Below are 13,493 nucleotides of genomic sequence, written 5' to 3' on the forward strand. Positions count from 1 at the left end.
GCTTCTCCACATACATAGCATGAAGTGACATTGAGAGACTGGGCTATATGCTCAACTAATTTCAAAAACAAATTTCTTGTTTTTCCTGAAATTTCTGGTACTGGCACATTTAGTTCATCATAGGAAGTTTGAAACACTGGCTCAGGAAAGCGTTTGTAAACTTCTCCTTGAACCAAGATATTTAGTTGAGGATCCAGTCTGGCCCAATCAATTCCTAAGGTCACGCGCTCCTCTGTTTTTCTAGCGAGGGTCAAGGGGCTTGGTTATTACTAGCTCTAAGGGGTTACATTGTCCCTTAGTACAGGAAGGGCCATTTTTTCCTTTCTGAAGGTGGACTGGATCTTTTTCATTTTCTTTTTGTCCAAGTGGCCAAAATGACACAAGACCAGTGTTTACATTTATTTCCACACAGTGCTAATTTATGACAGATGTATTTATTTTCTGCCATATAGCCTTTTCTAATGAAGAGAACCACAACTTATTCCTAACTTACTACTATTAATGACAGCACAGGCATCAAATTTTAAGATGAATTGTTTGGGCACCCCTTTTTCTTCTGTTTTGGCTAACACTTCACTCGTATCATTTATGAGTCCACACCAGTCCTCAGTCCTTAATCTTATTTTAAAAACTATGGTCATGGGAGGCTCAGATGGGTCATAACACACATCAGGTTGGTCACTTCCTGGGCTACATACTTTGTATAGAATAACATTACACGAACAAGTTCTTTTTAGAGTTCCAGTACACTTATAATAACCATAAAATAATAGGACCATAGCAACCTTTTGTCCTACCTCAGTGACTTGATGTATACAATGGGAACTGTCCTTAGTCTGAGGAAGGTCATTTGAAGTCCTTACTGTAAAAGTCCAAATTTTAAGAAAAATGAGTCCCGCAATGGGTTTTCTCATGCTTCGGCTGTGTGTGGACCAGTCAGCTTCCAGGTGTGACTGGAGTAGGGCTTGTCGTCTTCTTCAGAGTCACTTTGCAGGGGTTGGCAAAGCTGCTCCCCTCCACGTACTGCTCACAGTCTACTGATGTTCAAGGATGGTCTCAGAGGTTAGGCCTGCTAGAATAAACTGAGTCCAACACCTTTACACAGTTATGTTCAACTGGGCTCTCTGATACCGGGAGAAATGTGGTGGGGTTTAGGGTGTTGCAAACTTCAATGGTTATGTGGGGATTTTCAAATAGCATGATTTGGTACTTGGTTAATCTATCATTTGTTAACCAATGATATCCTTTGGTATTTATTAAGGTTACCACAGCATGGGGGGTCTTTATATTCAGATTTTGCTTAAGGGTTAGTTTATCTGCTTCTTGTGCTAACAGGGCTGTTGCTGCCAGGGCCCTTAGACGTGGGGCCAGCCTTTGGAAACCCTGTCTAGTTGTTTTGAGAAATAGACCACTAGCCTTGACCAGGGCCCCACAGTCTGGGTTAAAACTCCAACTGCCATTTTTTCTCTTTCTGACACATAGAATGTTGAGTTTTGTCAGGTCAGGTAGCCTCAGGGCTGGAGCTGACGTGAGTTTTCTTTTAACTCATGAAAAGCTCGTTGCTGTTGGTTGTAATAGATGTAGTTTATCCAATCTACATTTTTATTAACTGTCACCTACCAAAATATTGACTCAAATCCTGCAGCTATTTGATTTCAAGCTTTAAATTGATCTGGTATTCCTCGTGGGACTCCAATTGCGTCTAAATAGACATGAGAGTTGAAAGACCCCTAAGGAGCTTCTCTCGCTTTATGATGTCTTATTGATGAAATGCCAGGGTGAAAGGGATAGCCAACCGGACTAAAGTACAAGTGCCACTCCAGTTATTCGGCAGAGTGCCCAGTAAAGGTCCACCACAATACCACCACACATCCGCTCAGGGATGAACAAGGGCTGCCTCATTGATAAGCTCTTGAAAATTCTTATGCTTCACTGCATCCTTTCAGGTCTCCAAGGAACACGAAGTTTCCTCCCTGTCATGAGAGACACGAAGTGAACTTAGTGTTGGGAGACGGAGGTTGGATGGCCCTCAGGGGCTGACCCACAGGGTGCTGGACTTTGGGATATAGCAGAGAGAGCTTGGCACGACTTATTACTCCAGGCCGTAGAATCCTGGAAAAGAGCTACCATGCAGCCCACACCTGGTCAACTGGAGGACCACCTTAGTGGAAAGGGGACAATCTGGGCCTCTGGCCTGCCATGTGCACAAGCATAACAATTGGTTTTATTTAATGTCAAATGGAATATTTGATCCATTTTAACTAGGCATTTGCATCTTGGTATCCTGTCTTAATTGATAAAGTTTGTTTTAAGTCTTTAACTTCTATGATCCTCTAGTAAAATGAATGTATGGTTTTAGGAAATTATAAAAACCGGTTGGGTCAGTCCGTCCTTGCTCTTTAGTGGTCCACAGGACGTTGGACCAACTATGGCATGAAAGCTCTACGTCAGGGGGCAAGACTCCTAGTTGGCACTGGGGTGTTTATTGAAATCTCCCCGGATTAAATGGTCCTCGTTTACTAATGCCCAGTCTGAGGAGAGTCAGGAGGGGCAGAGATACTTTTCTGAAGTAGAAAGCTGTCTTGGAATTGGCAAGTCCCCACAGGGTATAACAAGGCAAGAATTAAATGCAATAGTTTGAGGTGAAATTGATTTGATTATGTTAATAACTATATGGTCAACAATAGAATGAGGAAAGAAGAAAGAGTAATAGAGTAGATGAAAAGAGTTACATTTTTCTTAGCTTTAGTTTGGTAGGGTTTTCCCCTGGGACTATGGCCCCCACCTCTGGAGGGGGTGGCGCTTTCTTGACTTGGGTGTGATGAGTCCATCTTTTTTTTTTTCTGTAAAAACAGCAGTCTTGGTGGTTAGCAGGACAAGGTAGGGTCCTTCCCAGGCGGGCTCAAGTTTTTCTTCTTTCCACCCTTTGATGAGAACGTGATCTTCAGGCTGGTGCTGATTTACTGGAAATTCTAGCGGTGGTACATGTGCTAAAAGACTTTTAGTTTTTGAGAGAAAGGAAAGTGGAAGATAAACCAAGTATATAATTTTTAAGAAACTGACCTTTTGTTTTAAATGTGGGGACCTTGGCAGTGGACTTTATAGTCCTTAGTGTCTTTTTACTGAGAAATTTCCTTTAGCACCTATTTTTATTAGTTTTTAAACCAAAGAAAGCCAAATACCATTTTACATTTAACAATGCTTCTTGTATGATTTTTATACCAGATAAGCTAAATGTTATGTTTATATTAGTGTGTTATTAATGTTAAACCTAATTTTAATAAAAGCCTGTAGACATATTTATCTAATTTTTAATGTTTGACCGTAAGTTACGATTTTATAGACTCTTTTTAACCTTTCATAATTTTTGCTAAAGAGCAGGTTGGTGCTTTAAGAAAAACCTGTTATGCTTTTACTTTAATGTCTAGTTCACAGAAAAACTGGATGATACTTCTTTAACTTTAGCAAATATGTTTATACACAGAATTTCCTTTACAATTAATGTTTTAAAATTTGCTTAAACCTTCAAAACAATAAATTTTTAACTTTTTAATGTAGGTAAAAATGTACATTCTTATGCCTCCTTATAATCCTTTTACCAAAGATATATTTTACTTTTCTTATACACCTTGCACATAAACTGTTGTTTTTTTTTTTTTTCAATAGTTTTACATTCAGGAGGCCTAGTTACTTTTAAATTATACAACATTTTTTGCATAAATTCTTTTTTATAACATTTTTCTCTTTCTTGACTTTTGCAGACAATTCTTCCACATGCCTCAACTTTCTGACTTATTACAAATATTTCTTTCTTTAAACAACCAGTTAATTTATTTCAGGACAAGAATTTACCATATAATACTCTTTTTATATAAATTCCACCCGCCCCCTTTTTTTTCCTTTTTTTTTTTTTTTCCCTTAGGATACTTCTGAACTGGTGAGATGTGCTCACAATGAGGTTTCCTCTAAAAGTTATTCTTTTTCCCCTTTTTTTTTTTTTTTTGTTAGCGAAGCAGTTGCCGCTACAGATTGAATGCATTTGGGCCATCCGCGGGTTATGGGGTTAAGGATTTTTGATAGGAAGGCCTCAGTGCTTTCGGGATATGCCCTTGTTTACACTGACAACAAAGTGGTATCGGACTGTTATAGGGTTACGGAGAATACCTTCAATTATCAATTATAGGTTTTAAATTTACCTTGGCTTTTAAAGAATAGGGTACACTTTTTTTTAACTACTTGTATATCTCTTTCTTTCTTTCTCTCTTTGACTTTGTCTCTCTCTTTCTGACTTTCCTTTTGCCTCTGTCTCTTCCTCTCTCTGCCTCTCTCTTTCTCTCTCTCTCCTTGACTCCCTCTTTGTCTGTTCCTCTCTGTCTCTTCCTCTCTCTCTTTTCCTCTCTTCCTCTCTGTCTCTTTCCTCTCTCTCTCTCTGCTGCTCTTTCCTTGCCTCTGCCATCTGCTTATGCTGCTGTTCTCTCAACCGCTGTGTGTTGGGGGCGTGGGGTCTAAAACCAGCTGTAACCAAGTGTCTATGTACGGGAACTGGTCTGGGTGCCCTGGCTTACAGGTTACTTTGTGCCATACCTTTGAAACAAGGGACCTGTCCAGGCTTCCTTCTAATGGCCAATCTACCTCTAATGCTGGCCGGTCTATCTTACACAAAGTTTTAAGTTTTCCTAGTGTCACAGTACTCCATAGTCTCTCTTAAATTCTTTTTTTGAAATTTTCCAACATAGTTCCTAGTAGGGTGGGCTTATTTGTGCCTGACCTATGCTTCTTTGAGACAAAATACCATGCTCACTCCACACGCACACCACAAAACAAAAAAATGGGTAAAAAGGGCACACACACAGTTTTGCAGTTTGCACCAAACAAAAATCAAAACCAAAATCAGAGTAACCAGAAATCTAAGCCAGGTCAAAACCAAAACCAAAGTATCAAGCAATCCAAGTCAAATCAAAAACAAAAACCAAAGTGCCGGTACAGGCACGCTGTGGGTGATCAGGCCATGCTTCCACTCAAATGGAGTGGGCAAGTTCTCAAGACCAGTCCCGTCAAGCAATTCAAACCAAGTCAAAACCAAAACCAAAGTGCCTGTACAGGCACGCCGTGGGTGATCAGGCCACGCTTCCACTCAAACGGAGTGAGCAAGTTTCAAAGACCAGTCTTACCAAGTTTCAGATGTGCAGACTCCAAGTGCCTGTTCCTTCCAGGTGTTCAGCCACTGCATTGATCCTCCACGGGGGCCTGCCACACACTGCTCTGGGGGGCGTCCCACCGGGACAAATGCCTCATATTCGTTATATCCTCAGGGGATGTTACTTCTAATGTCACACGAGGTGTTCTCCCTGTGTTCTATTTCATAATATCCTAGGGCAATTTTACTTTTAATGACACCAGGTTGTACACATTGTGACATTATTCATGATATTCTAGAAAGATGTTGCTCCTAATGTCACAGGGGTGTAAACCCTGTGATAGTATTCATAATTTCCCAGGGGTCTGTACTCCTAATGTCACAGAAGATAACACTCTGTGACATTATTCATAATATTCTAGTGAGATGATACTCCTAATGTCACAGGGGGTGTACACCCTGTGCTATTATTCTTACTATTCTAGGGGGATGTTATTCTTATTGTCACAGGTGTGTTCCTTCTGTGATATTATTGAAAATATGCTAGCAGGATATTACTACTAATGTCACAATACATCTTGTGATATTATTAGTAATATTCTGGGGGGATGTTACCCCTAATGTTACAGGGGTGTACACCGTGTGATATTGTTCCCAATATTGTAGGGGGATGTTACTCCTAATGTCACAGGGGGTGTACACCCTTAGATATTATTTGTAATCTTATAGAGAGATATTATTTGTAATATCTTAGAGAGATATAACTCCTAATATCCCAGTGGGTGTACCCCATGTGTGTACACCCTGTGATATTATTTGTAATATCCATGGTAAACATTACTTCTAGTATCCCACAGAGGGTACACCCCGTGATATTTTTCATAATATCGTAGGGAGATATTGCTTCTAATAACACAGTGGGTGTACACCATGTGTGTACACTCTGTGATGTGATAGCTTATATCCTAGGGAGATATTCCTTCTAATATCCCAGTGAGTGGACACCCTGTGATATCATTCGTAATCTCCTAGGTAGATGCTGCTGCTAATATCACAGAGGGTGTGCCCCCAGTGACATTATTCATAATATCCTAGGGAGATGTTACTCCTAATGTCACAGGGGGAGTGCGCCCTGTTATATTATTCATAATCTTCTATGGGGGGGTTACTTTTAAAGTCACAGGGGTGTACACCCTGTGATGTTATTCGTAATATCCTAGGAAGAGGTTACTCCTAATATCACATGGGTTATCCTAGGAAGAGGTTACTCCCAATATCACACTCCTAATATCACACCCTGTGATAGCATTCGGAATATCCAAAAGGGACGTTACTTTTAATGTCACATGGGGTGTACACCTTTTGAGATTATTCATAAGATCCTAGGGACATACTACTTCAAATATCACATGGGTGTACACACATGGTGTACACATTATGTGTGAACACCTACTGTGATATTATTCATAATATCCTAGGAAAATGGGACTCCTAATATCACAGTGAGTGTACATACTGTGATATCATTTGTAATATCCTAGGGGAATATTACTCCTAAACCAAAGGCGTGTGTACCCTCATGATAGTATTCATAATACTCTAGGGAGATGTTACTCCTAATGTCATATCACAGGGGTGCACACCCTGTGATAGTCACAGTATATGAGAGGGATATTAGCACTGAAGTCACAATGTGTGTACACCTTGTGATATTATTCATAATATCCTACGGGGATGTTACTCCTATTGTCACAGGGGGTGTGTTCGCTGCGATAGTATTCATAGTCTCCTAGACGGATGTTACACCTAATGTCACAGGGTGTGTACATCTTGTTATATTATTCGCGATATCCTAAAAAGACATTACTCCTCATGTCACAGGGGCTGTATACCCTGTGATATTATTCGTAATATCCTAGTAAGATATTACTTTTAATGTCACAGAGGGTGTACACCTTTTGAAATTATTTGTCACAGTTTCGTGGGCTGTTACTCCTAATGTCACACGGGGTGCACACTGAATGATATTACTTGTAATATTCTATAGAACTCTTACTCATAAATCACAGGTGTTCTACACCTTGTAATGTTATTGGTCATATTCTAGGGGACTGTTCCATCAATTAATGTCACCCGGGGTGTACACCTTGTGATATTATTCGTAATATCCTAGCAGGATGTTACTACTAATGTCACAATACGTATATACCCTCTGATATTATTCATTATATCCTCACGGATTATTACTCCTATGTCACACGGGGTGTACTCCCTGTGATATTATTCGGAATATCTTAGGGGGATTTTGCTTTTAATGTCACAGGGGGTGTACACATTGTGATATTACTCGTGATGTTCTAGAAAGATGTTACTCCTAATGTCACAGGGGGTGTACACCCTGTGATATTACACAGGCTAACCCCCTGTGACATTATTCGTAATATTTTAGCAGGATGATACTCCTAAAGTCACAGGAGGTGTACGCCCAGTGATATTATTCAGAATATTCCAGGGGGATGTTACTCCTAATGTCACAGGTGTGTATACCCTGTGATATTATTCACAATATACTAGCGGGATATGACTACTAATGTCACCATGTGTGTACACCTTCTGATATTATTCATAATATCCTGGGAGGATGTTACTCCTAACATCACAGGGGTGTACACCCTGTGTTATTATTAGTAATATTCTAAGGGGATTTAACTTTTAAAATCACAGGGGGTGTCAACCCTGGGATCTTATTCGTAATATCCTAGGAAGATGTTACTCTTAATGTCACATGGGGTATACAGCCTGGGTTATTATTTGGAATATCCTAAAGGGATGTTATCTTAATGTCATGGGGTGTGTACACTCCTTGATATTATTCATAATATCCTAAGGAGGTATTACTTTAAAAATCACAGTGGGTGTGCACACGTGGTGTACATCCGTGATATTATTCACAATATCTGACTGAGGTATGACTTTTAATATCACAGTGGGTGTACACCCTGTGATATTATTTGTAATACCCTAGGGAGATGCGATTCCTAATGTTACAGTGGGTGTACACTCTGTGATATTATTTGTAATGTCCTAGGAAGATATTACTCCTAATACCAAAGTGGGTGTACACCATGTGTGTACACTCTGTGATATAATCCGTAATATCCCAGAGAGATATTGTTCCCAATATCACAGTGGGTGTTCACCCTGTGATATTATTCATAATATCCTAGAGAGATATTATTCCTAGTATTACAGCATGTGTACACCATGGGTGAACACCCTGTGATGTTATTCATAATATCCTAGGGGGATATTACCCTTAATATCACAGTGGGTGTACACCATGTGTTTCTATTTTGTGATGCTATTCATATGTTAGAAAGTTATTAGTCCTAGTGCCACAGTGGGAGTATACCATGTGTGTACCCTCTGTGATGTTATTTGTAATATCCTAGGGAGATAGTTCTCATAACATCACCATGGGTGTACATCATGTATGTACACCCTGTGCTGTTATTGGTTATGTCCTGGGTAGATATTACTCCTAATATCACCATGGGTGCACACCATGGGTGTACATTCTGTGATGTTATTCGTAATATCCTAGGGAAATATCACTCCTTATGTCATAGTGGGTGTACAGCCTGTGATATTATTGGTAATGTCCTTGGGATGTATTTCTCTTGTTATCGCAGTGGGTGTACACCCTGTAATAGTATTTGTAATATCCTAGGGAGATATTACTGTATACCCTGTGATATTGTTTGTGACATTTTAGGTAGCTGTTTCTCCTAAAGTCAGAGTGGGTGTACACCCTGTAATATTCTTCCTAATATCACAGTGGGTGTACACCATGTGTGGTATTTTTTCTAATATCCAGTGGGGGAGAGGATGATATTGCTTCCAATATCACAGAAGGTGTACACCCCCCTGTGATATGGTTCCTAATATCCAGGGAAGGACAGGATGACATTATTCCCAATATCACTGGGGGGTGTACCACCCCCCGCCGGGATGTTGTTCTTAATATCCGGGGGTGGAGAGAATGATATTACTCCCAATATCACAGGAAGTGTACACAACCTCTGTTTGATATTGTTGGTAATATTCCGGGGGGCAGAGGATGATATTACCTCCAATATCGCAGGGTGTGTAAACACCCTCTGTGATATTGTTCCTAATGGCCTGTGAAAGAGAAAATATTACTCCCATTATCGCACGGGTGTTCACCCCTGATGACATTGTTTTCTAATATCCAGGGAAGGAGAGTATGATATTATTCCCAATATCACAGGGGGTGTACACCTTTTTGTGACATTGAGTCTAATATCCAGGGAAACAGAGGATGATATTACTCCCAATGTCGCAGAGGGTAGACACCCCCCTGGGATATTGTTCCTAATATCCCAATGGAGAGAGGATGATATTACTCCCAATATCAAAGGAAATGTACACCACCCCTGCGATATTGTTCCTAATATCCAGAGAAGAAAAGAATGATATTACTCCCAACAGCGTAGGAAATGTATACCCGTGCTGTGATATTTTTCCCAATATCTGGGGTGGGGGGGAAGAGGATCATATTACTTCCAATATCGCAGGGTGTGTACACCCCCTCTGTGATCTTGTTGCTAACATCCAGGTTTAGGGAGGACGACATTACTCCCAATATCGCAGGGGGAGTACACCCCCCGTGACCTAGTTAGTAATTTCCTGGGTGGAGAGGATGATATTACTCCCAATATCGCAGGGGGTGTACACAGCCCTGTGATATTGCTCCTAATATCCAGAGCCAAAGAGGATGATATGACTCTTAGTATCGCAGAGGGTGTACACCCCTCCTGTAATATTGTTCTTAATACCCTGGGAGGGAGAGGATAAGATTACATTGAATATCGCAGGGAATGTACACCCTCCCCCTCTGAGACCCTTCCTAATATCCAGGGGAAGAGAGGATAATTTTGCTCCCAATAGCCCAGAGGCAGTACACCTCCCCTGTGATATTGTTCCTAATATCCAACGGGGGAGAGGATGATACTTCTCCCAATATCGCAGGGGTGTTCACATCCCCAGTTACATTTTTCCTAATATCTAGGGGAGAGACAATTATATGACAGCAAATGTCTCAGGGTCTGTACATCCCTTCCTGATATTGTTCCTCATATCCAGGGGGGAAGAGGATGATGTCAAATATCAAAGGGGGTGTACACCCCCCACCACGATATTGTTCTTAATATTCATGAGGGGAACGATGATGTTACTCTGAATGTCGCAGGGGTTTTTCACACCCCCTGTGATATTGTTGCTGATATCCACAGTGGGAGAAAATAATATTACTTCCAATATTGCAGGTGGTGTATACCCCACCTGAAATATTGCACTGAAAATCCAAAGAGGGAGAGGATGGTATTAATACCAATATCGAAGTGTGTGTACACGCCCCTTGTGATATGGTTTTCAATATCCAGGGGGCGGGAGGATGATATTAGTCCCAACATCACAGAGAGTGTACACTACCCCTGTGATATTGTCCCTAACTTCCAGAGGGGAGAGGATGATATCACTCCCAATATCTCAGAAGTGGTACATCCCCCGTGATATTGTTCGTCATATCCACAGAGGCACAGGATGACATTACATTGAATTTCGCGACAGGCGTACACGCACACTGTGATATTGTTCCTAATATCCAAGAAGGGAGAGGATGATATTACTCCCAATAAAGCAGTGGGTATACATTACCCCTGTGTTATTGTCTCTAATATCTGGGGACGGGGGGCGGGGGAGAGGATAACATTCCCTCAAATTTGGCAGGTGGTTTGACGCCCCTTGTGGAATTGTTTTTAATATCCAGCGGGGAAGACAGTAATACCATTTTGGATAGTCCGATTTATCCGCCCCACCTTTCCGGAACTCTGAGACCAGGAGGCGGCATGCGGTTTCCATGTGATCCCCGATACCTTTGCCATCTTCTGTACTGTCAGCCACAAACGCAGGCCCGTTATCTGAGCTGATCCGTAAGGGCAGTCCCAATCTAGGAATCAGATCTCGAAGAAGCAGACGGGTTACTTCAGGAGCTTTCTCAGTTCGTGTTGGATAAGCCTCCACCCACCCAGAGTAGGTACGCCCAAGAACTAGTAAATACTTGTTACCTCCACACTTTGGCATCTCTGTGAAGTCTACCTGGAGATCTTCAAAGGGGGCTGCTCCATAAGCTTGTATGCCGGGCGGAACGGCTGGCACTTGCCTCGCATTACGCTGTCGGCAGATAACACACCGCTGCGTCACCGTTTTGGCAAGTGCTGACAAATGCGAGACGTAGAAATACCGGCCTAACAACTTTTCCAGTTGACTCCTGACCTACATGGCATTCGAAACATGAGTATACAGAAGTCTTTGGTAATTCAGGATCACTGATGAGTAAAACAAGATAGGAGTTGAAGCTTATCTTTGTTTAAAAAATCCTTTGGTCTTGGGATAACAAGATAATGTAAATATGGCTTAAAGGAGAATCATTTCAAAAACAAAGCAAAACAAGGAAATGAAAAATAAAATTTATGGCCTGGCACAGCGGCTCACGCCTGTAGTCCCAGCACTTTGGGAGGCCAAGGCGGGCAGATCACGAGGTTAGGAGATCGAGACCAGCCTGACCAACATGGTGAAACCCCGTCTCTACTAAAAATACAAAAATTAGCCAGGTGTGGTGGCAAGGGCCTATAATCCCAGCTACTTGGGAGCCTGAGGCAGGAGAATTGCTTGAACCCGGGAGGCAGAGGTTGCAGTGAGCTGGGATCGCCCCACTGCACACTCCAGCCTGGGCAGCGGAGTGAGACTCCGCCTGAAAAAAAAAAAAAAAAAAACAAGTAATTATCCGGGCCTGGTGGCGGGTGCCTGTAACCCCATCTACTCGGGAGGCTGAGCCAGGAGAATGGCTTGAACCTGGGAGGCAGAGGTTGCAGTGAGATGAGATTGTGCCACTGCACTGCAGCCTGGGTGACAGAGCCAGACTCCGTCTCAGAAAAGAAAAAGAAAAAGAAAATTTTAAAAATCCTTAAGCGTGACAAGCTTCAAAAACAAAAAAAGAGTCGAAAATTTAAAAAAGGAATCTTTGTATAAATAGAAAAAATGATTTTCGGAGGACTTCAAAAACTTTTTTTCTAAATCTTATATTGCTTTTAGAATTATCTTTCCTCATTGAAAAACTTTTTTTTTTTTTTTTTTTTTAATATGTAACTAGTGAAACTGTCCCCCAGGGTTAACAAGAATTCATACCTGGTTCTGGACAGAAATACAGTTCTAACTGTGAAAGGAAAGTCAGTCGCAGGACCCCACGCTGCCTCAGGCAAACCTGCCTCAAACTTTATTCCTAAGCAAGATTGCTACGAAGATAACAGGAAGCTACCTACCTTCCTCACCATTTCCCCCACAAGGAAATTCCTTGAGGGCCTCAAGATCTTTACCTTAAAACAGTTCTTTTGAATTTCACCTGGCAAGGTAAATTGGTAGCTCATCTTCACAGGTGTGGGACAAAGGACAGAATTCAGTCAGCCCTCTGCTGAGCTGCGACAAACGTATATCTGATTGCTTCCTCTGCCCTATTGTTTATTTATTTATTTATTACTTTTGGCTTATTTCTCCAAGACAAATGCCCTATTGTTTATGCAAAAATGTAGATTCACTGAGCCAGACTAAGGCGTAAGTGACTATTCCTCTACCCGCCTCTCACATGTAAATTGTGTATTCAGTGAAAGGCTGTTCAAGGACTCAAAAGAATGCAACCTTTTGACCAGGCACAGTGTCTCCTGTCTGCAATCCCAGCAATTTGGGAAGCCCAGGTGGGTGGCTCCCTTCAGGCCAGAAATTCAAGACCAGCCTGGCCAACATGAGGAAACCCTGTCTCTACTAAAAATACAAAATTAGCCGGGTGTGGTGGCGCATGCCTGTAATCCCAGCTACTGGGGAGGCTGAGGCAGGAGAATCCCTTGGACCCGGGAGGCCGAGGTTGCAGTGAGCAAAGATGGCGCCATTGCACTCCAGCCCGGGCAACAGAGAGAGACTCCATCTTAAAAAAAAAAAATACAATGTTGTGTCTCGTTTCCTATGACCTGGAAGCCCCCACTTTGAGTTGTCCTGCCTTTCTAGACTGAACCAATGTACACCTTACACATATTGATTGACGTTTCACGTCTTTTTCTTTTTTGTTTCTTTTCTATTGTTTCTAACCCTCAGTATTCATATCATGTCTCTCTAAAACGTAAACACCAAGCTATGCCCTGATCACGTGGGGCACATATCCTCAGGACCTCGTGAGGCTGTGTCTCAGGCACGTCCTTAAATCTTGGCAAAATATCCAGCCTGG

General features: G+C 41.7%; 1 long non-coding RNA gene and 1 other non-coding gene across 2 annotated transcripts, besides 2 other annotated features; both read right to left on the reverse strand.

The window, feature by feature from the left end:
- Positions 1-385: 385 nt before the first annotated feature.
- Positions 386-11,409, reverse strand: LOC124905023 (uncharacterized). Its single transcript, XR_007067882.1, has 2 exons — positions 11,287-11,409; positions 386-11,181 (listed from the first exon to the last, which is right to left on the reverse strand). It is a non-coding gene; the product is annotated as an uncharacterized LOC124905023 (long non-coding RNA).
- Positions 6,525-6,611, reverse strand: MIR5692B (microRNA 5692b). The gene has a single exon (NR_049889.1). It is a non-coding gene; the product is annotated as a microRNA 5692b (primary transcript).
- Positions 11,758-12,608: an enhancer, noted in NCBI's record as "OCT4-NANOG-H3K27ac-H3K4me1 hESC enhancer chr21:44376271-44377121 (GRCh37/hg19 assembly coordinates)". NCBI's record gives its function as "activates a minimal SCP1, AML or CMV promoter by ChIP-STARR-seq in primed H9 embryonic stem cells {active_cell/tissue: H9 hESC(primed)}" and the evidence as "EXISTENCE:reporter gene assay evidence [ECO:0000049][PMID:30033119]".
- Positions 12,609-13,459: an enhancer, noted in NCBI's record as "OCT4-NANOG-H3K27ac hESC enhancer chr21:44377122-44377972 (GRCh37/hg19 assembly coordinates)". NCBI's record gives its function as "activates a minimal SCP1, AML or CMV promoter by ChIP-STARR-seq in primed H9 embryonic stem cells {active_cell/tissue: H9 hESC(primed)}" and the evidence as "EXISTENCE:reporter gene assay evidence [ECO:0000049][PMID:30033119]".

Source organism: Homo sapiens, chromosome 21 (genome assembly GCF_000001405.40).
Source record: "Homo sapiens chromosome 21, GRCh38.p14 Primary Assembly".
Classification (NCBI taxonomy): domain Eukaryota; kingdom Metazoa; phylum Chordata; class Mammalia; order Primates; family Hominidae; genus Homo; species Homo sapiens.